Raw genomic sequence first — 22,498 nt, 5'->3', positions numbered from 1 at the left:
GGAGCATGATATGAGTTCAGTGTTATTTGCTGCAGCATTGACTGTGATAGCAAAAGACAGAAAACAACCTAAATGTCCTTCAAGTAGGGGACTAAATGATTGTACCTCAGTAAAATGAACTTCTGTGAAGCCAGGAACCAAAAATGAGGAATCTCTTTACTTACTAATAAGGAGTGTTTTTCAAGGTATATTAATTCCAAAAGCAAGATGCAGAATGTTTTATATGCATGTACTGTGTGTATGTGCACACTAACGTGAATGGATGTGTGCATACAAACATATAAGAATTTGATTATATATGCAGATAATATTTTTCTAAAGATACTTAAATTGCTTTCTGAGAAGGTAACTGAGTAGTTGCAGGCGAGAGACATGAAAGGAAGAATTTTGGTGTGCTTTTTTAATGCTTTAAAATTTTTAATTATGTAAATGTATTACTGAGTTAAAAATAAATTTTAAACTGGAAGAGATTGAGGTAATCTTACAGTAATGGCACAAAAATCTAACAATCATATATGTATTCAGCCATTAGTAACTGACACTGATATTTGACATGTGTTCAGTTCATATGGTGCAGGGATTTTTTTTGTAATTCTCCATTTTACCTGTTATTCTCATTTTTTAATTGCAAAGCATATATATAAATGGTTTTCTCTAAGTAGGGAAATACTGGCGATTTTCAATTTTTTTTTATTCTCCTGTATTTCCCTAATTTTCTGTAATGAACACAAATTCTTGGCTTCTGTACATCACACAGGTCCGGGGAATATCATCCAATGCAACAACCCTGATATTAACATGTATTATATTTATAATCAGAAAATAAAAATTGTTTAAAATCTTTTTACAGGTCACCTTGTTGTTTTTTAAATGTAACTAAACTGTAATTAAGTTCTGCATTTCTAATTTTTGTTGTGGACTGTAATAAGTACTAACAAATCAGGAAGCCAGTTTTATGAGTAAATACAACACACCAAATTAATCATTTTGTCAAACTGATATTACCATTTTAACTTTTCCCCAAACTATTTCCATACTTGATCTTTTTCTCCCTGGCCTTGGTGTGCTCTGACAGCCTTTATAATTTACCATTAACACCTAGTAGGCTAACAAAAGATGCATAGTACACAGCAGTTGATACCTTTCCTGGTTAACTCCTACTAATTAGAAATCCTCAAATACTTAAAAAGTACCAGTACAAACAAATCAATTCTAACAATTCTAGATTAAATATTGGTTGATAACATGCAAAAGACTTTGTTCCCAATTTTTTTCTTAAGCAAGAAGTTTGAGTCTTTCTCTGTAGTGTATTTGGGTTTTGTTTAATTAATTTATGTGACTCTTCATTACTTCTAGGTAAATCTTACAAACCATTGTGGTTTTATGGGAGGACTACAAAAAAACAAAAGCACTGGATTGACCACTCCATATTTTGCTACCTCTACAGTAGAGGTAATATTTCACGTGTCAACAAGAATGCCTTCTGATTCTGATGATTCTTTGACCAAAAAAGTAAGTGCTGAGAAGTGCTTTCAAATTAAAATGCTCATAATTGAGACAGTTAATACAGAAAATACGTAAGTAAGAAATCGAATTGATCAAGCACTGTTTCTGGTTGTAGTACACCACTCCACCCAGTGCTGTCTTGAAAATAGGGTGGTTGTACAGCAAACTATGTTTTCTTTAAGAAACAATGATATGGTTAAAGGTTGCAGTCTTTTTTTAAAATAAAGTTTATTGTGTATATTTAGGGTTTACAACATGAAATGTTGTGGGATACATATAGATAATAAAACGGTTACTATATTGAAGCAAATTAACATATCTATCATCTCATCTAGTTTTTTTATGTGTGTATGACAAGAACAGCTAAAATCTACAAAATTCCAAATACCATACAATTTTTATTGTGCGTTAAATCTCTAGACTTGTTCATCCTACATATCTGCTACTTTGTATCCTTTGAGCTCCTTGTCCCAATTTCATACCCCACTCCACCCCTGGTAACCACTGTGTTATTCTCTATCTCTGTATATTTTCTCCTTTGTTTTTTTTTTTTAGATTCCACATATAAGTGATACCATGCAATATTTTTTCTTTCTTTGTCTGGCTTATTTCACTTAGGACACATAGTGTCCTCCAAGTCCATTCATGTGTAGCAAGTGGCAGAATCTCCTTTTTTAAGGTTGAATAATATTACATTGTATGCATATATACCACAGTTTATCAATTTGTACATTGATGGACAGTTTTGCATATCTTGGTTATTGTGAATAATACTGCAGTGAACATAGGAATGCAGATATCCTGAGGAGGTGGTGATTTCATTTCCTTTGAGTATATGCCCAGAAAAAGGTTTGCTAGGTCATATGGTAGTTCTATGTTTAATTTCTTTAAGAACCTCCGTACTTTTTTTTTTTTTTTCATAATTGCTGTACAGTCTACATTTCTACCAACAGTGTACTAGTGTTCCCCTTTCTCCACATCCTTACCGATGTTTGTTATCTCTTACCTTTTTGGCAATAGCATTCTAATGAGTATAAAGTGATATCTCATAGTGGTTTTAATTTGCATTTCTGTGATGATTAATGAGATTGTTGAGCCTTTTCATATACCAGTTCACCATTTTTGAATAAATGTCTGTTTAGGTCCTCAATAATGTTTTTATGTTTTTGAATAAATGTCTGTTTAGGTCCAGTTTTTAATCCGTTTATTTGCTTTTCTGCTATTGACTTATAAGACCCTTATAAATTTTAGATATTAATCCCTTAATAGATAAGCGGTTTGCAAATATGTTTTCCCTCTGTAGGGTGCCTTTTCGTTTTGTTGACTGTTACCTTTGTTCTGCAGAAGCTTTTTAGTTTTATGTAGTACCATTTATTTATTTTTGTATTTGTAGCCTGAGCTTTTGGTGTGATGTCCAAAAAATCATTGCCAAGGCCAGTATCAAGGAGCTTTTCTTCTATGTCCTCTTCTAGGTTTCATGTCTTATATTTTGGTCTTTTCCCCATTTTAAGTTGATTTTTGTGTATGGTGTAAGATAAGGATTCAGTTTTATTCTTTTCCGTGTGGAAATGCCATTTTCCCAAGACCATGTTGAAGAGACTATCCTTTCCCTGTTGATCTTGGTGCCCTTGTGAAAAATTAGTTTACTGTATATGTTTGGATTTATTTCTGGGATCTCTGTTTTGTTCCACTGGTATATGCTTCTGTTTTTACGCCAGTACCGTACCATTCTGATGACTGTAGCTTTGTAATATAATATAATATAATATTTTATTTATTTATTTTTGAGACAGGGTCTCACTCTTTCACCCAGGCTGGAATGCAGTGGTGCAATCACAGTTCACTGTAGCCTCAACTTCTGGGCTCAAGTGATTCTCCCTCAGCTTCCTGAGTAGCTGTAACTATAGGCACTCGCCACCACGCTGACTAATTTATTTATTTTTGGAAGAGATGGGGTTTTGCCATGTTTCCCAGGCTGGTCTCAAACTTTTGAGCTCAAGCAATCCCTCTTCAGCCTATAATGCTGGGATTATAGGTGTAAGCCACTGTGCCCAGCCTGTAATATAATTTTAAATCAGGGAATATGATGCCCCTTTGTGTTTTTTTCTCAGTTTAGCTTTGGCCATTTGAGGGTTTTTTGTGGTTCCATACGAATTTTAGAATTGATTTTTCTATTTCTGTGAAAAATGCCATTGGAGTTTTTATGGGGATTCCATTAAATTTATATATTTCTTTGGGTAGTATGAACATTTTAACAATATTAATTATTTCAATCCAAGATATCTTTCCATTTCATTGTGTTTTAAATTTCTATCATCAATGTTTTATAGTTTTCAGAGTATAAATCTTTCACCTCCTTGGTTAATTTATTTCTAAGTATGTTTATGGTATCATAAATAGGATTGTTTTCTTGATTTTTCAGCTAAGTCATAATTTGTATATAGAAATGCTAGCAATTTTTGTATGTTGATTTTGTATCCTGCACCATTACTGAATTCATATGTTAGTTGTAACACTGTTTTTGTGGAATCTCAGGGGCTTTCTACATAGCATATCATGTCATCTGCAAATAAAGATAATTTCACTTTTTCTGTTCTGATTTGGATGCCTTATATTTCTTTTTCTTCTCTGGTTGTTCTTGCTAGTACTTCCAGTACTATCTTGAATAGGTGCAGCAAAAGTGGGCATCCTTTCCCTGTATCAGATGTTAATAGAAAAGCTTTCGATTTTTCCTCATTGGTTATAATGTTAGTGATGAGTTTTTCATAAGTTACCTTTATTGTGTTGAAGAACTTTCCTTCTATACCTAAACTGTCAAGAGTTTTACTCAATAAATGATATTGGACTTAGTTGAATGCTTTTTCTACGTCAATTGAGATGATCACATAGTTTTTAACTGTTATTCTGTTAATGTGGTGTATCACATCAATTGATTTGTGTGTGTTAAATCAGCCTCGCATGCCAGGGATAAGTCCCACTTCGTCTGGGTGTATAATCTTTTTGATATGTTGTTGGATTGGTTCAGTTTGCTAATATTTTATTGAGGATTTTTGCATCAGTGTTCATCAGAGAAATTGACCTGTAGTTTTCTTTCCTTCTGGTGTCTGTCTAGCTTAGGGATCGAGGGGATGCTGGCTTTATAAAATGTTTGGAAGTATTCCCCTTCACTCTGTTTTTTGGAAGAGTTTAAATATTGGTAATAATTCTTTGAATGTTTGGTAGAATTCAGCTGTGAAGCTGTCTAGTTCTGGGCTTTTTGTTAAAGGTTTCTAATTAATTCTTCAATCTCTTTGTTATTGGTCTGTTCAGACTTTCCATTTCTTCCTGATTCAATTTTGGTAGGCTGTTTTATTCTAGAAACTTATCCATTTCCTCTAGGTTATCCAATTTGTTGGCATACAGTTGTTTATAATAGTCCTTTATAATCCTTCTTATTTCTGAAGTGCCTGTTGTAATGTCTTCACTTTCATTTCTGATTGGTTACAGTCTTAACAAAGGATTTACCTTCAAGAAAATAGGGATATATTAGTCTGTTTTCACACTGCTATAAAGAAACTGCCTGAGACTGGGTGATTTATAAACAAAAGAGGTGTAATTGACTCACAGTTCCACAAGGCTGGAGAGGCCTCAGGAAACTTACAATCGTGGCAAAAGGCAAAGGGGAAGCAAGGTACATCTTACATGGCTGCAGGCAAGAGAGCGAACAAAGGGGAAGTGCCACACTTTAAAACCATCAGCTCTCATGAGAACTCATTCTCTATCACAAGAACAGTACAGGTGAAACCTTCCCCATAATCCAGTCACCTCCCACCAGGTTCCTCCCTTGACACATGTGGATTACAATTTGAGATGAGATTTAGTTGGAGACACAGAGCCAAACTGTATCAAGGGATATAACAAATTGAAAGATTTCTGTGTTTGTTTACATTGGTAAAATTATATTTCAAGGCCCTTAGTACATGGACTCTGATACAATGTTTATATTGATTGAGGGAGAGGAAAAAATAAAACAGAAATTATTCCAGGCCAGGTGTGGTGGCTTGCTTATGCCTGTAATCCCAGCACTTTGGGAGGCCAAGGTGGAAGGATTGCTTCAGCCCAAGAGTTTGAGACCAACCTGAGTAACATAGCAAGACCCCCTGCCAAAAATTTAAAAATTAGCCAGGCATGGTAGCATGTGCCTATAGTCCCAATTACTCAGGAGGCTACTGTGGGAGGATTGCTTGAGCCTGGGATGTCCAGGCTACAGTGTGCCATGGTCACACCACTACACTCCAACCTAGATGACCAAGTGAGACCCTGACTCAGAAAAACACATACATACATACATACATACATACATACATACATAGCACTTAAAATATAACATGCTGTATCCTATACATTTGAGCTAAAACTAATGTAACAAATAAGTGTTACTTAATTGAAATAAATCTTGCTACCTTAGAATCTGTAAGGGGTATCATAGAATGATATTGATGGTCCACAACTGTTAAAATTTACACCACCATTTTGCTGTATCTCACACAGCCATGGAAAAGTCATTGTAGCTACAGAGATACCTCAGAGTACAGTTTTATGTATTCAACTCATATTTGGTTTTGTGAGAAACATTTTTAAAAGTAAAACTTTATCCAACATTTCTCCTTTACCTCTTCCTTCTCCTCTTTCTTCTCAGTTTGTTTGTTTTTGCCCCAGGGTTTCTATTGAAAATCCTATCCTCAGTTTATCCAAAACTATTACTAAATGTAACCAACTGAACATGATCAGCCATTTCACTTGATACTCTGTTGCCTGATATCAAAGCTCTTCGCACTTCACTAATAAGCTTTGAAACAGGGTTATTAACATACTGTTTTTAAAAGGAAGTTTAGGACTCTTTACAAATCTTTTATAAGATTTGATTGACTACTGTATTGGTCTGTTTTCACATTGCTATAAAGAATACTGAGACTGGGTAATTTATAAAGAAAAGAGGTTTAATTGACTCACAGTTCCATATGGCTGGGGAGGGCTCAGGAGACTTAAAATCATGGTAGAAGGGGAATCAGGCACATCTTACATGGCGGCAGGCCACGGAGTGTGAGCATGTGAAGGAGTAACTGTCAAACCCTTATAAAACCATCAGCTTTCATGAGAACTCACTACCACTAGAACAGCATAGGGAAAACTGCCACCATGATCCAATCACCTCCCACCAGGTTCCTCTCTCAATACCCAGTGATTACAATTCAAGATGAGATTTGGTTGGGGACACAAAGGCAAACTATATCAACTACCTTTTATGCCTTTTGTTTACATTTTAGAATATTGTTAGAAATTGCCTAATAAATGGATAATAGCTAGGAAAACTAATATATGGGTACTAATTAGATTGCAATGAGTGGTGGGGTAGAGGTAATTAATAAGTCTATGAAAGCATATTCAGTGAAAAGTTTGTTACAGAATTTTTTGGCATATGCTTTTTAGAAGTACAAGATAAGACATCAATACTGATAATAGTATATGATGTTAAATAGGATTGGAATAAAGATTTGTTAAAACTTCACATAAACCATTTGTTCCAGGAATTTATCTTAAATCTCTATGAAAATAAATTATACCCAAAGTAGACACAGTTATAAGTATAGTGTAAAAAGATAAATAAGCCAGGCACAGTGGCTCACACTTGTAATCCCAGCACTTTGGGAGGCTAAGGTGGGAGGATTGCTCAAGCTCAGGAGTTCGATATCAGTCTGGGTAACATAGTGACACCCTGTCCTTACAAAAAAAATTAGCCAGGCATAGTGGTGCATGCCTGTAGTCCCAGCTATTTGGAGGCTGAGGTGGGAAGATTGCTTGAGTCCAGGAGCTTGAGGCTGCAATGAGCCAAGATTGCACCACTGCACTACAGCCTCAGTGACAGAGTGAAACACTGTCTCAAAAATAAATAAATAAATAAATAAATACATACATAAATTTAATCAGGGCTCCATGGGCATAATTTTTAAACCCCAATGCAGAGTTTAAAATTAATAATATATTACTATTCTGCTGTCCTACAATAGTGACTGTTTTAAGTATATTTCTCATATATTTCTTTTTTAAACATTTACTTTTTTAATTGATAAATTGAAATTGTATATATTTATGATATACAACACATTTTGATATATGTAAACACTGTGGAATAGCTAAATCAAGCTAATTAAAATATGCATTACCTCACATACCAGTTTTTCATGTTGAGAACACTTAAAATCTATTCTCTTAGCAATTTTCAAGTATACAGCATGTTGTTCTTAACTATAGTCATTATGTTGTACAATAGCTCTCTTTAACTCATTCCTCCTAACTTAAATTTTGTGTCCCTTGACCAGCTTCTCTCCATTTTCAAACTCTTCCCCATAAGTGATGACTCTCTCCGTTTAAGGAAAATGGCATATAATGAAACCAATTGTATTTTATCATCAAATTTATAATGAAATTATGAAGGATATGACATTATTTGAAGGCCTGCTATATGTTGTTTTGCTTAAAGTTGCAGTTTCCAAGAACCTATTGATGACATTGTGAGGACTTACTGTACTCCATCTTTCTATGAATTCAACTTTTTTAGATTCCACTTAAAAGTGAGATCATGGTTTGTCTTTTTGTGCCTGGCTTAATTTACCTAACATAAAGTCCTTCAGGTTAATCCGTGTTTTTATAAATGACAGGATTTCCTTCATTTGTAAGGTTGAATAGTGTTCCATTTTATATATATACCACATTTTCTTTATCCATTCATCAATTGATGGACTCTTAGATTGATTCCATATCCTGGTTATTGTGAATAAGGCTGCACTGAACGTGAGTGTGCAGATAATCTCTTTGACATACTGATTTCATTTTCTCTGGATATATACCCAGTAGGGGGATTGCTGGATCATAATGATAGTTCTAATTTTTAATTTTTTGAAGAACCCCCATACTGTTTTCCGTAATGCCTGTACTAATTTAAATTCCCACTACCTATGTAACAAAGTCCTCTTTTTTCCACATCCTTGCCGTTACATTTTGTCTTTTTGATAATAGTCATTCTAATAGGATATCTCATCATGGTTTTATTTGTAAAAATTAATAGTATCTTAGATTGCAAACCTAAAAGTGGAACAAAGTAGATTATTTTCTATTAAAATGACTTTTTTGTTAAAGAAAACTATGTCAGGATATTTTTACTTCACTGTATTAAACTTGCTAATTATATGGCACTTGATAGTTTATTCCTGTGACCTTTGTAGAAATGTCAAATAAGATGCCTGTTTCCCTCAAAGTAGTCACAAGGGCCCTTAATTATTTTAAAAGAAGCATCTGAAATGGATGTTTAATAATCCTTTATCATAGCAAATAAGACAAATTTTAGGCATGATAGCACCATTTAAGAGTTGTTGGCCGGGAGCGATGGCTCACGCCTGTAATCCCAGCACTTTGGGAGGCTGAGGCGGGCGGAACGTGAGGTCAAGAGATTGATGGATCATGAGGTCAAGAAATTGAGAGCATCCTGGCCAACATGGTGAAACCCCGTCTTTACTAAAAATTCAAAAACTAGCTGGGCGTGGTGGCACGTGCCTGTAGTCCCAGCTACTCGGGAGGCTGAGGCAGGAGAATTGCTTGAACCCAGGAGGCGGAGGTTGCAGTAAGCTGAGATCACACCACTGCACTCCAGCCTGGTGATAGAGTGAGACTCTGTCTCAAAAAAATAAAATAAAAGGGTTGTTAAATGATTGAGTTTTATTTTTTAATTTTTTTAAATTATACTTTAAGTTCTAGAGTACATGTGCACAACGTGCAGCTTTGTTACATATGTATACATGTGCCATGTTGGTGTGCTGCACCCATCAACTCATCATTTACATTAGGTATATCTCCTAATGCTATCCCTACCCCTTCCCCCCACCCCACGACAGGCCCCAGTGTGTAATGTTCCCCACCCTGTGTCCAAGGTTCTCATTGTTCAATTCTCACCTATGAGTGAGAACATGCGGTGTTTGGTTTTCTGTCCTTGCAATAGTTTGCTCAAAATGATGGTTTCCAGCTTCATCCATGTCCCTGCAAAGGACATGAACTCATCCTTTTTTATGGCTGCATAGTATTCCATGGTGTATATGTGCCACATTTTCTTACTCCAGTCTATCATTGATGGACATTTGGGTTGGTCCCAAGTCTTTGCTATTGTGAATAGTGCTGCAGTAGACATACGTATGCATGTGTTTTTACAGCAGCATGATTTATACTTCTTTGGGTATACACCCAGTAATGGGATGGCTGGGTCAAATGGTATTTCTAGTTCTAGATCCTTGAGGAATCGCCACACTGTCTTCCACAATGGTTGAACTAGTTTACTACCATCAGAGACTATAAACACCTCTACGCAAATAAACTAGAAAATCTAGAAGAAATGGATAAATTCCTGGACACATACACCCTCCCAAGACTAAACCAGGAAGAAGTTAAATCCCTGAATAGACCAATAACAGGCTCTGAAATTGAGGCAATAATTAGTAGCCTACAAACCAACAACAGTCCAGGACCAGACGGATTCACAGCCGAATTCTACCAGAGGTACAAAGAGGAGCTGGTACCATTCCTTCTGAAACTATTCCAATCAATAGAAAAAGAGGGAATCCTCCCTAACTCATTTTATGAGGCCAGCATCATCCTGATACCAAAGCCTGGCAGATACACATACACAAAAAGGAGAATTTTAGACCAATATCCCTGATAAACATCAATGCCAAAATCTTCAATAAAATACTGGCAAACCAAATCCAGCAGCACAACAAAAAGCTTATGTACCACAATCAGGTTGGCTTCATGCCTGGGATGCAAGGCTGGTTCAACATACACAAATCAATGAACGTAATCCAGCATAGAAACAGAACCAAAGACAAAAACCACATGATTATCCATGATTATCTCAATAGATGCAGAAAAGGCCTTCGACAAAATTCAACAGCTCTTCATGCTAAAAACTCTCAATAAACTAGGTATTGATGGGACTTATCTCAAAATAGTAAGAGCTGTTTATGACAAACCCACAGCCAATGTCATACTGAATGGGCAAAAACTGGAAGTATTCCCTTTGAAAACTGGTACAAGACAAGGATGCCCTCTCTCACCACTCCTGTTCAACATAGTGTTGGAAGTTCTGGCCAGGGCAATCAGGCAGGAGAAAGAAATAAAGGGTGTTCAATTAGGAAAAGAGGAAGTCAACTTGTCCCTGTTTGCAGATGACATGATTGTATATTTAGAAAACCCCATTGTCTCAGCCCAAAATCTCCTTAAGCTGACAAGCAACTTCGGCAAAGTCTCAGGATACAAAATCAATGTGCAAAAATCACAAGCATTCCTATACACCAATAATAGACAAACAGCCAAATCATAAGTGAACTCCCATTCACTATTGCTTCAAAGAGAATAAAATACCTTAGGAATCCAACTTACAATGGATGTGAAGGACCTCTTGAAGGAGAACTACAAACCACTGCTCAACTAACTAAAAGAGGACACAAACAAATAGAAGAACATTCCATGCTCATGGATAGGAAGAATCAGTATTGTGAAAATGGCCATACTGCCCAAGGTAATTTATAGATTCAATGCCATCCCCATCAAGCTACAAATGACTTTCTTCACAGAATTGGAAAAAACTACTTTAAAGTTCACGTGGAACCAAAAAAGAGCCCGCATTGCCAAGACAATCCTAAGCAAAAAGAACAAAGCTGGAGGCATCACGCTACCTGACTTCAAACTATACTACAAGGCTACAGTAACCAAAACAGGATGGTACTGGTACCAAAACAGAGATATAGACCAATGGAACAGAGCAGAGCCCTCAGAAATAAAACCACACATCTACAACCATCTGATCTTTGACACACCTGACAAAAACAAGAAATGGGGAAAGGATTCCCTATTTAATAAATGGTGCTGGGGAAACTGGCTAGCCATATGTAGAAAGCTGAAACTGGATCCCTTCCTTAAACCTTATACAAAAAAAGATTGAGTTTTAATTAAAGTTGTACTCTGAAACGATGAAACTTTTATGCACTAGATTTATTAGAGAATAAGTTCATTTTAACTATTTTTTAAACCATTTTTAACTAATTCATTGGCTTTAAGTAGTCTCACAGTGCTTTGCAACCATCACCACTGTCTCTTACAGAACTTTTGCATTTTCATTTGTTTCAAAATATTTCTTAATTTCTCTTGAGATATATTATTTGACCCATGTGTTTTTAAGAAGTATGTTGTTTAATCTCCAGGTATTTTGGGGTTTTCCAACTATCTTTCTGTTACTGATTTCTAATTTAATTCCATTGTTCAAGAGCAGACATTTTATGATTTCTGTTCTTTTGAATTTCCGAAGGTGTATTTGATGGCCCAGAATATGGTCTGTCTTGGTGAATATTCCTTGTGAGTTTGAAGTTATGTCAGTTTTTGCTTGATGCATTTTGATGCTTTGTTGTTAGGCACCTACATGTACAGATTGCTATGTCATCTTCTAGTATTGACTCCTTTGTTATATGAGGCTTCTCTTTATCGCTGATAACTTTCTTGCTCTGAAGTCTGTTCTGTCTGAAATTAATATAGTTACTCCTGCTTTCTTTTGATTAGTGTTAGCATGGTATATCTTTTTACTTTTAGTCTATATTTGTCTTTATAGTGGCTTTCTTGTAGACAATATATATGTTTTTAGCTCCACTCTGACAATCTCTTTTAATTGGTTTATTTATAACATTAATTCTTAAAGTGATTATTAATATAGTTGAATTAATATCTACTATATTCTTTACTGTTTTCTATTTTTGTCTGCTGTATTCTGTTTTCTATTTTTGCCCTTGTTCTTTGTTCCTGTTTTTGTCTTTTATACTTTTTCTGCCTTTTCTGGTTTTAATTGAGCATTTTATATGATTCCCTTCTCTCTCCTTTCTTAACATATCAATTATGCTTCTTTTTTTAACTTTTTAACTTTTTAGTGATTGCTGTAGAGTTTACACTATACATTTGTAGTTAATCCAAGTTACAAGTCCACTTTCAAATTACACTATACCAACCGGGTGCAGTGGCTAACACCTGTAATCCCAGCACTTTGGAAGGCAGAGGCTGGCAGATCTGTTGAGCCCAGGAGTTCAAGACCAGCCTGGGCAACATGGTGAAACCTTGTTTATACAAGAAACACAAAAGTTAGCCAGGCATGATGGTGTATCCCCATGGTCCCAGCGACTTGGGAGGCTGAGGTGAGAGGATCACCTGAGCTTGGGGAAGTTGAGGCTGCAGTGGGCCATGATTGCACCACTGCACTCCAGCTTGAGTGACAAAGTGAGATCTGTCTCAAAAAAAAAATTATTCTATACTGCTTATATATTACTGCTTGCAATAACAAAGTATTCCTAATCCCTCCTTTCCATCCCTTGTATCATTGCTGTCATTCATTTCGCTTGTTTTAGGTATATATAAACCTATATATATATATGAATATGAGCATACATATTCAAATACATTGCTGCTATTATTAAACTATATTCTGTTAAACCAATTATGACTAAGAAAAATAAAAGTTTTAATTTACCCTCACTTATTCATTCTGCATACTCTTCCTTTCATCATGTAGATCCAAGTTTATGACACATATGTTTTTCTTCTCTCTGAAGAACTTGTTTTAACATTTCTTGAAAGGTAGGTCTACAGGCTGCAAATTCCCTCAATTTTTGTTTGCCTGAGAAAGTCTTATTTCTTTTTCACTTCTGAAGGGTAATTTCACAGGGTACAGAATTCTAGGTGTGTGGTATTTTTTTTCCTCTCTCAATACTTTAAATATTTCACTCTACTCTCTTCTTGCTTATGTAATTTCTGAGACATCAGAAGTAATTTTTATCTTTGCTACTCTATAGGTAAGATTTTTTTTCCTCTGGTTTCTTTGAAGAATTTTTCTTTCCCCTTGATTTTCCAAGTTTAAATGTGATGCACCTAGGTGTAGTTTTTTGACATTTACCCTGCGTGGTGTTCACTGAGCTTCCTGGATCTGGGTTTATGACTGACATTAAGTTGGGGAAATTCTGTTATTATTGCTTCAAATATTGCTTCTGTTCCTTTTTCTCTTTCTTCTTCTTTTGGAGTTCCCATTACATGTATTTACATCTTTCATGGTAGTCCCACAGTTTTTGCATATTCTGTTTGAATATAAATCTTTTTTCTCTTTGCTTTTCTGTTTTGGAGGTTTCTATTGAGATATCCTGAAGCTCAGAGATTCTTTCCTCAGCTGTGTCTTGTCTGTGAATGAGCCTATCAAAGACATTTTAAAATTTCTGTTCCAGTGTTTTTTTAACTCTAGCATTTTTTCTTGATTATTTTTTCCTAGAATTTCCATCTCTCTACATACATTGTCCATCTGTTCTTAAATGTTGTCTACTTTTTCCATTAGAGCCCCATAGCATGTTAACCATAGTTGTTTTAAATTCCTGGTCTGATAATTCTAGCATCTCTGCCACATCTGACTCTGGTGCTTATTCTGTTCTGATGCTTGTTCAGTCTCTTTAGACTATGTTTTTTGTCTTGTAATTTTTTGTTGAAATCTGAACATATGCTCAGTAAAAGGAACTCTGGTAAATAGGCCTTTAGTGGTATGGTGGTAAGGTGTGGGGGAAGGGGAGGCACTCCATTGTCCCATCATTAGGTTTCAGTATTTTGCTGAGCCTGTGGCCCTGGATTGTGAACTTCACTAGTGTTTTTCAGTCTCTTCCCTTAGGTGGGACAGTATGACCTTCCAAGGAGCCAGAGTTGGCTATTTTTCTTCTCCCAGGTAGATTAGGCTTTGGTAAAATAGTTTCTACTGAGGGCAGGCCTTTTAAAGAAGAACAGAATGTTTTGGTGTGTTTCAAATAATTGTTTTTCCCCTCCCCCTCCATAAAGCAAGAGGATATTTTTCTCTATTATTCACTGTGAGGACCTGGTAGAGCTCTTGGAAATAAAACTCACAAAAGTAGGGAAGTTCCCCATAAGACTGGTTTCTCCTGGAGTTGCTAACTCTTAGACTTGTCCACACTGAGCTTCCAGCAGTTCAATTTTAGTTCAGGTTTTCCTACACTGGCACTAGATTCCATCAGTCAGCTGTAATTATCTGTCTCTCTCCAGTGGGACACCAGGAATGGGGAGGGGAGCATTTTTCCTGTGACTTCATGTCTCTGATGATGCTAAAAAGAATTGTTGATTTTCAGTTTGTTCGGCATTTTATTTGTTGTTAGATCAAAGTGGTGATTCCAAACCTTTATATGCTGCACCAGAAACTGGAAGACCCAGAACTTGTTTTGTTGTTTTTTGTTTTTTGTTTTTGTTCCAGAACTTTTTTAAATTTTCAAACAGCAACTTTGTACCCATTAAACAGTAATTCCCCATTCCTCCTTCCACTACCCCTGGTAACCTCTAATCCACTTCCTCTATGAATTTGCCAGTTCTAGGAACCTCGAATAAGTGGAATCATAAAATATGTGTCCTTTTGTGCCTGTTTTACTTAGCATGTTTTCAAGATCCATTCATGTTGTAGCATACATCAGAATTTCATTCCTTTTTAAAGCTGAATAATAATCTGTTGCAAGTATATACCTCATTTTGTTTACCCATTCATCTGTGGCTGGAAATTGGGTTGTTTCCACCTTTTGGTTCTTGTAAACAATGTTGCAGTGAACATTGGCATACAAATATCTATTTGAATCCCTGTTTTCAATTTAGCTATATAGCTAGGAGTGGAATTGCTGGGATCATATGGTAATTGTATATGTAGCTTTCTGAGAAATTGTCAGGATGTTTTCTACAGCAGCTGCATCATTTTATATTTCCACCAGGAATGCTTAAGGGTTGCAATTTTTCCACATCTTTGCCAACACTTGTTATTTTCTGTTTTAAAAAAATAATTATAGCCATAGTAGTAGGTGTGAAATGATATTTCGTTGTGCTTTTGACTTGTATTTCCCTTCTAATGATATTGAGCATCTTTTCATGTGCTTATTGCCTATTTGTATATACTCTTTGGAGAAATGTCTTATTTTCTCTAGTAGTAATTTAAATCAATTTAAGTAAAATTTACTTTGTCAGCGTCAAACTAAATTAAAGCAATGTTTCAGCTCTATATGTATGAACAATGTGGTCATATACGTCCTGATACTGCGATTCTCCAAGAAACAATAGCAGCTTTTAAGTCCAACAGAAAGGGAATTTTTATTTGATCTCATAATTCAGTGTAATTAGCTTAAACTTTCTTTTCGTAGAAATTTTTTAAAACCTTATAAACATTGATTTCTCTATATACTGATGTTTCCCGTTTCCCTATACCTAATGACTGTTGCCTTAATCTTTTCCTCAGAGTTCTAGTATATAAGATTTTTCTAAGTAGCAGGCTTATATTTTAGTTTTATTTTAGTATCACTTTATTTTTGATAGGTTAAATGTTTAAACTTAATCGTAGAAGCCAGTTGTCTTATACCAGTTGTCCCTGATAAAAAATCACTTTCTGTATTGGTATTTTTTCTCCTGAATTTAATAAATTCCACATTAGTGGTAATAAGTTGAGGCTAGAACATGTGTCCTATTATAAATGAACAATTGGATATCATTAGGTTGTCCCCCCTATCCTTTGTACATATATCTTTAGGTGTGTTAATCCATTCAGTAGACACATTAATGAGCACGGGTTGAAGTGTAATATTGGAGGAAGTAAGGCTTGTTGACCTCAGCAAGGAGTTTAATACCTCTAATTAAATTAGATAGTCGACAGTCAGTATAAAGAAATAGCCATGCCTCTGGCAAGCTAGAATTATTTATGACTCTGGTCCTTTGCTTTAAACTTGGTAGGGTAAAATCATTTATATCCATTTTATAGAAACTAATTTTAGTTCTGATTTTTTATTTAAAATATGTGATTTGTAAATTATTTTCAAACATTTTATTTTCTCAGAATGAGAAGTAAATATCCTTGGACCTATTTAAATGTAGCATTTATATTTCTTGTGAAGAGAAGCTTTTTCAAGGCTCAAGACAGTAGCAGCAGAATATTTACAACATAGACTATACTTCTTGAGCAAATTAGCCAAACATTCAGTTTAGCTAAGTTTCTCTTAGAAATGTTGCACCACCATATAAAAATCCTGATATAACCCCAGTCCAAGCAATCTGTTCTATAAATTATCTCTTCCTGAGGAAGATTGATGGAAAATGGTTAAAAATAATTTCCACTTAACTGAGTGTATTCACCCCTAAAAATCAAAAGTGCTGCAAGCATTGGTATAAAGTGTTCATAGGAGCCTCTCTCATTTCCTCTGTCTCCTTGTTCTAGCCACTTGCTGATACTCTGCTTCATAGGTAGCTGAATCATCCTTTTAGAAGTTTGATGAAGATCAAGTTGAGATAATTGTAACATACTTAGTTGAACTCTCTAGTCTATGTTTCATTTCCTGGACCCCCCAAAATAGGGGGAAAGAAGCACTTTATTTAAGTCCATTTCCTCTGAAATACTATTAGTGTAATGGAAAGTGTTTCATTTTCTGTCTTGAAATTTACTCACAATAGTTGTGCAAATAAATGAACCTTGTAGTGCTGCTTGGTCTGATTTTTTATTTTAAATCTGTTTTTCTTTATTTTATACAGAAATATAAGATACTTTCCAAAGAACTATATGCTAAATATAGTCTGAAAAATGAATTTGTTAAAAAATAAATTTAAGGAATAATTTTTAAATTTTTTCATTATTTTAGTAAAAGTGAAGTTAGGATTATAGTTAATAAGTGCTGTGAAATTATACTCATTGTTTGAGTCCTAAATATAACAATCTTATAGAAGAAACTCTGCCCATAACTCCAGTTTTTACATATATACTCCTGATGACAAGAATAGAGGATTGAGAAAACAGAAAATATAAATGGTTCAATGCAAGTTTATCTTACCACAGTAAATGTTATGTGGGTGAGATAGCAGAGGCCTCTCATTGTATAGGGAATAAAATTCTTTTTTTTTTTTTTTTGAGACGGAGTCTCACTATGTTGCCACACTGGAGTGCAATGGCGCGATCTCTTTTCACTGCAACCTCCACCTCCTGGGTTCAAGCGATTCTCCTGACTCAGCCTCCCGAGTAGCTGGGACTACAGGCGTGCACCACCTTTTAGTAGAGACAAGGTTTCACCATGTTTGCCAGGATGGTCTCGATCTCTTGACCTCATGATCTGCCCGCCTCAGCCTCCCAAAGTGCTGGGATCACAGGCGTGAGCCACTGTGCCCGGCCGGGAATAAAATTCTAATTCCTCACTATGGCACTACGTGATTTGGCCCCACCAGCCTGCCTACCTCTAGATCTCATCTCCTGTCTTTTTCCTTTTCATTTACCATAATCTGGCCTCACTGACTGACATTCTGACCTTCCAACATGTCAAACTCATTCACATCTTAAGGGCTGTGTACACTTACTACTCTCTCAGTTTGAAATGTTTTTTCTCCACATTATCAGGCTTCCTCATTCTAATTCTTCTGTTCTTAAACTCACATGACAGTTTCTCAGAAAGACCTTTTTAGACCATCCTAGCTAAATAAGCCCCTTTCTACTCAGGAACTTTATCACATTACCCTATATTATTTTCTTTATAGATTTATCAGCATGTAAGTTTACCTTGTTTATTTTTGTATATGTTTATCTGACTCCTCCCACTAGAATATCAAGGTCATGAGAACAAGGACTTTGTCTCTTTTGCTTACTGCTGTATCTCCAGCACCTAGTACCAGGCCTGTTGGCATTTAACAAATGTTTTTTCAGTGAATTACCACAGCTACCATAGCCACAAATCAAAAGAACTATCTATAGACACCTTTGTCTTTATCAAAGTGACATATTTAAATAAATGCCATAACTGCAGATAATTCTATTTTTATGCTATGTACTGGGTAATGATAGGAAAAAAATGCAAGATAAGTATTGTTATATTATCTTTTTAATAGTCACCAGTATTTATTGAATGCCCACTCTGCTAAGGCATAGTATTGGATGCTGTGCCTGTTGTTTTCAAGAAACTTTTCCTGATTGCTAAAAATGAATAATCTAAACAGCAAGTGAATGTAGGAAAATATGTGTGACTATTAGAAGGTATATTAAAGCATGTTTTCTCACATGATTGAGGGTTATATCATAGAGTGTTTTTTACTAAGTGTGAGTGCCTGAAAGATGGGGGAAAGAATGGGAACTTGGGGCAGTAAGAATACTAAGTTACAGTTTCTACACGTATACCCCTATCTCCTGAAGTAATTGCGTAACCTAATTAACTTCTGTGTGTTCTTCAGCTTTTAGTTCAAGAGCTATTATAGATCCATGTCCTTTGTTATTTGTATTGAGAAAAGTATATTTAGAGCATCATTTGTATTTTTAAATTATTTATTTATTTATTGTATGGTTATTTTACTCTGTCTCCTCCACTGTACACAAAGCTTTGCTAGCAGAGACCATGTCTGTTTTTACTCATTGTTGCATCTGCAAAAGCTAGCATTTGGTCAGCTCTCAATATTTGGTTATGAATGAAAGAAGGTGGATATGGAGGAGGGAAGGAAGAGAAAAAAGACTTTTAAGACCTCATGAATTAGTATGTGTGGTATGTAGGATGAGTAGCATGTGATCTAGGACAGCAGTAGAGGAATAGGAAGGAAAGTACAGAAAAGGAATATACTTTTTTAAAAAAATGAAGAGCTCATTAGCAATGTAGTAAGGAAAACAGAGTAATCAAAAAAGACTAAAAGACAATCAGGTTTTAATCCTGAGTGATTATAATTAGTTGTTAGGTACTTTTAACAGAAATGGAGAAGTCAGGAAGATAAATTGATTTAGTGAGAGACATAATACAGTTACTTTATAAGAATTCTAGTCTCCAGCCCCAGATAAGTGATATTATATGGCACTGAGGAAATCTAGAATTGACTCTGGAATTCCTGTTGGTAATCATGGAGAATGAGTGCATTGCCATAAGATGAATGTCTTAGTCCATTCAGGCTGATATAACAAAAATACCATAGACTGAATGGCTTATAAACCACAGAAATTTATTTCTCACAGTTCTGGGGGCTGAGAAATCTAAGATCAAGATGCTGACAGATTCATTGTCTGATGAGGGACCACTCCCTTGTTCACAGATGACCATCTTCTCATTGTAACCTTATATATAATAGCAGAAGAGTCAAGTAAGCTCTCTGGGGTCTCTTTTATAAGGACATTAATCCCTTATAAAGGAGCCCGCATAACATAATCACCTCCCAGAGTTCCCTACCTTCCGATACCAACACACTGGGGGGTTAGGATTTCACAATATGAATTTGGGGGGTGGATGGGATGCAAACATTCAGTCTGTAGCAATGGGTGAACATCTGATTTTCACAGAAGAACATGGAGCAGGCCATAGACTATAGAAATTAACCAACATTCGTGAGCTTCATGTCAGTGCCTGGCAAAATAGGATTATTAAACAGATGGTTTGTGAGCACTTAGATAATGAAGTGTAGTGATCACTAGGAGCCACCATGAGTTCACCATAACAAATCACATCAAAATAACTTAATTTGTTTTAATAGGATTACTAGATTAGGGAAAACCATAGACTGCAATAAAGCATTTAACTAAGTTGCTTGTTGTGGACAAGTTGAAGAAATGTGGTCTTAATAAGAGTTTGATAAGTATATTCATGAGTGATTGTATAATCATATTCATAGCACATAAATTAATTATTTAACAAGAAACAATATAGGGAGGTGGTTACAGTATAGGTTCTAGAACCAGCCTGCCTTGGTTTGAATCCTGGCTCTGCCACTTACTATTTGTATGACCTTAGGCGAGTTACTTCATCCTTTTAAGCTTCAATTCCTCTCCTGTAAAAATAGGGATAATAATAATTATTACTACTTCATAGTGTTGTTGTGGAAATTTAATGAATTGTCACAAACAGTAAGCAGTAAGCACTTAATAAATACCTTTAATAAATATAGGGTTTTGTGGATTTTTTTAACCAGGAGGAAAGTCTGTAATGACTTGCTGTAAGGCTCTTAACCAAGCCTGTCCCATTTGACATTTTTGTCCAAAATGTAAATGAAGACACTGGAATTTGAACTTAAGGATAGCCCAAATCTGGCAGAGAGCCAGCACATGAATAGCATAGTCAGGCTAACAATAGACCTTCATAAGCTTAAAGATAATCTGAACCTGGCAAGGGAAAATTATGAAATCCCTTCTTTAGTTCTAGCAGTCAATTGTACCTGCTTAAAAGAACTTTGTAAGAAAAAGACTTAGCAACTTGAACTGACTACAAGTTCCATTTGAGCCATCATTTTTAAAATGCAGAAAGTAATTTATTGAACAGACTGAAGGAAGAAACAGCCCCACTGTGGGTTTGCTGTATTATCCAGAGCATGTGTTGATACTGTAATTCTATTCCATACACAAGTTTAATAGAAATATTAGTAAACTGAGACAATAACCCAAGATAATGAATATGTTTGTAAACTGTAAGAGGAGCTAAGAAGAACACTTTTAACCTGGAAAAGGAAAGGTAAGATATATATTAGACTGATCTTCAGATAACAGAAAATATATAGAATACAGATTGGATTTATTTGGTAAGGCTCATTTTGGAAGAGCTAGCATCCAGAAGGCAGTTTTTAGCTTAGTATTAAGATGTTCTAATGATTGTAGCTCTTTAAAAATGAAATGGGGGCCAGGCACGGTGGCTCACGCCTGTAATCCCAGCACTTTGGGAGGCTGAGGCAGGTGGATCACCTGAGGTCAGGAGTTCGAGACCAGCCTGGCCAACATGGTGAAACCCCATCTCTACTAAAAATAAAAAATTAGCTGGGCGTGGGGGTGGGAGCCTGTAATCCCAGCTACTTGGGAAGCTGAGGCAAGATAATCGCTTGAACCTGGGAGGCGGAGGTTGCAGTGAGCCAAGGTTGCACCATTGCACTCCAGCCTGGGCAACAAGAGCAAAACTCCATCTCAAAATAAATAAATAAGAAATGGGTTGATTTGTGAATTCATAAAATCCCCAACCTTAGAAGTATTCAAGCCGAGGCAGGATGTCTACTTATCAGGCATATGGTGGCACAAGCTCCTGTATCAGGTGGGAAATTAGAACTTTAAGGTCTCTTCCAGTATTAACATTCTAGTGTATTTGAGGACTTCACTTGTACACATGTTAAATTTCATTTAGCTGCTTTGTCTTCTTCAAGTAATAATAGTCATCTGTAGCCTATGTTATATACCTTGAGTTCCAAAATGACTTCAGTAGCAGTTGAAAGAAATTTAGAAGAGTAGTTTGGTTGCCAATCGTTTTAACAGACCTATCCCATGTACAGAAGTCTTCTACTCTATTTCAGAAATGAATTAGCATCTGGGTCAATAAACATGTAGATAGGAACTTCTTTGGTGGTTTTAGAGTATAGCAAAACCTACTGGTTATACAATCTTTTTTTTTTTTTCTTTGAGATGGAGTCTCACTGTGTCGCACAGGCTGGAGTGCAGTGGCATGATCTCAGGTCTCTGCAACTTCTGCCTCCCAGGTTCAAGGAATCCTCCCTCCTCAGCCTCCTGAGTAGCTGGGATTACAGGTGTATGCCACCACACCTGTCTAATTTTTGTATTTTTAGTAGAGATGGGGTTTCACCATGTTGGCCAGGCTAGTCTCAAAACTCCTGACCTCAGGTGATTCGCCCGCCTTAGCCTCCCAGAGTGCTCGGATTGCAAGTGTGAGCCACCACACCCTGCTCCATAGGACACAATCTTGTAAGTCCATAGAGATAAGGAATAAATAAAATCAATATTAAATAATATATAAAGTTTGTCAAACATACATATGCCTGAAATTTCTATTAATGCTTAACCATTAAAAATTGATTTTTTCAGTAGTCTTTCAAAAATTCCCAAGACACATAGCAATGATTAGCAATTTCTCAATTTGTGTCT

The 22,498-nt window shown here is 35.8% G+C and overlaps 1 protein-coding gene across 22 annotated transcripts in view; it reads left to right on the top strand.

Moving 5' to 3' along the window:
* Positions 1-22,498, top strand: part of RALGAPA1 (Ral GTPase activating protein catalytic subunit alpha 1) — a 270,940-nt gene that overhangs the window by 212,150 nt on the left and 36,292 nt on the right. For 21 of the 22 annotated variants that reach the window (NM_194301.4, NM_001346246.2, NM_014990.3 and 18 more), the window contains one exon: positions 1,357-1,512. In NM_194301.4, coding sequence (NP_919277.2) covers positions 1,357-1,512 — 156 coding nt within the window. Of the gene's footprint in view, positions 1-1,356; positions 1,513-1,552; positions 1,561-13,575; positions 21,261-22,498 lie in introns of those variants that run through there. The other variant, XM_017021143.3, reaches the window with a different exon arrangement.

The sequence above is a fragment of the Homo sapiens genome, chromosome 14, assembly GCF_000001405.40.
Source record: "Homo sapiens chromosome 14, GRCh38.p14 Primary Assembly".
Classification (NCBI taxonomy): domain Eukaryota; kingdom Metazoa; phylum Chordata; class Mammalia; order Primates; family Hominidae; genus Homo; species Homo sapiens.
Note: the sequence above shows the minus strand (reverse complement) of the source record. Positions and strands in the feature narration are given on the sequence as shown.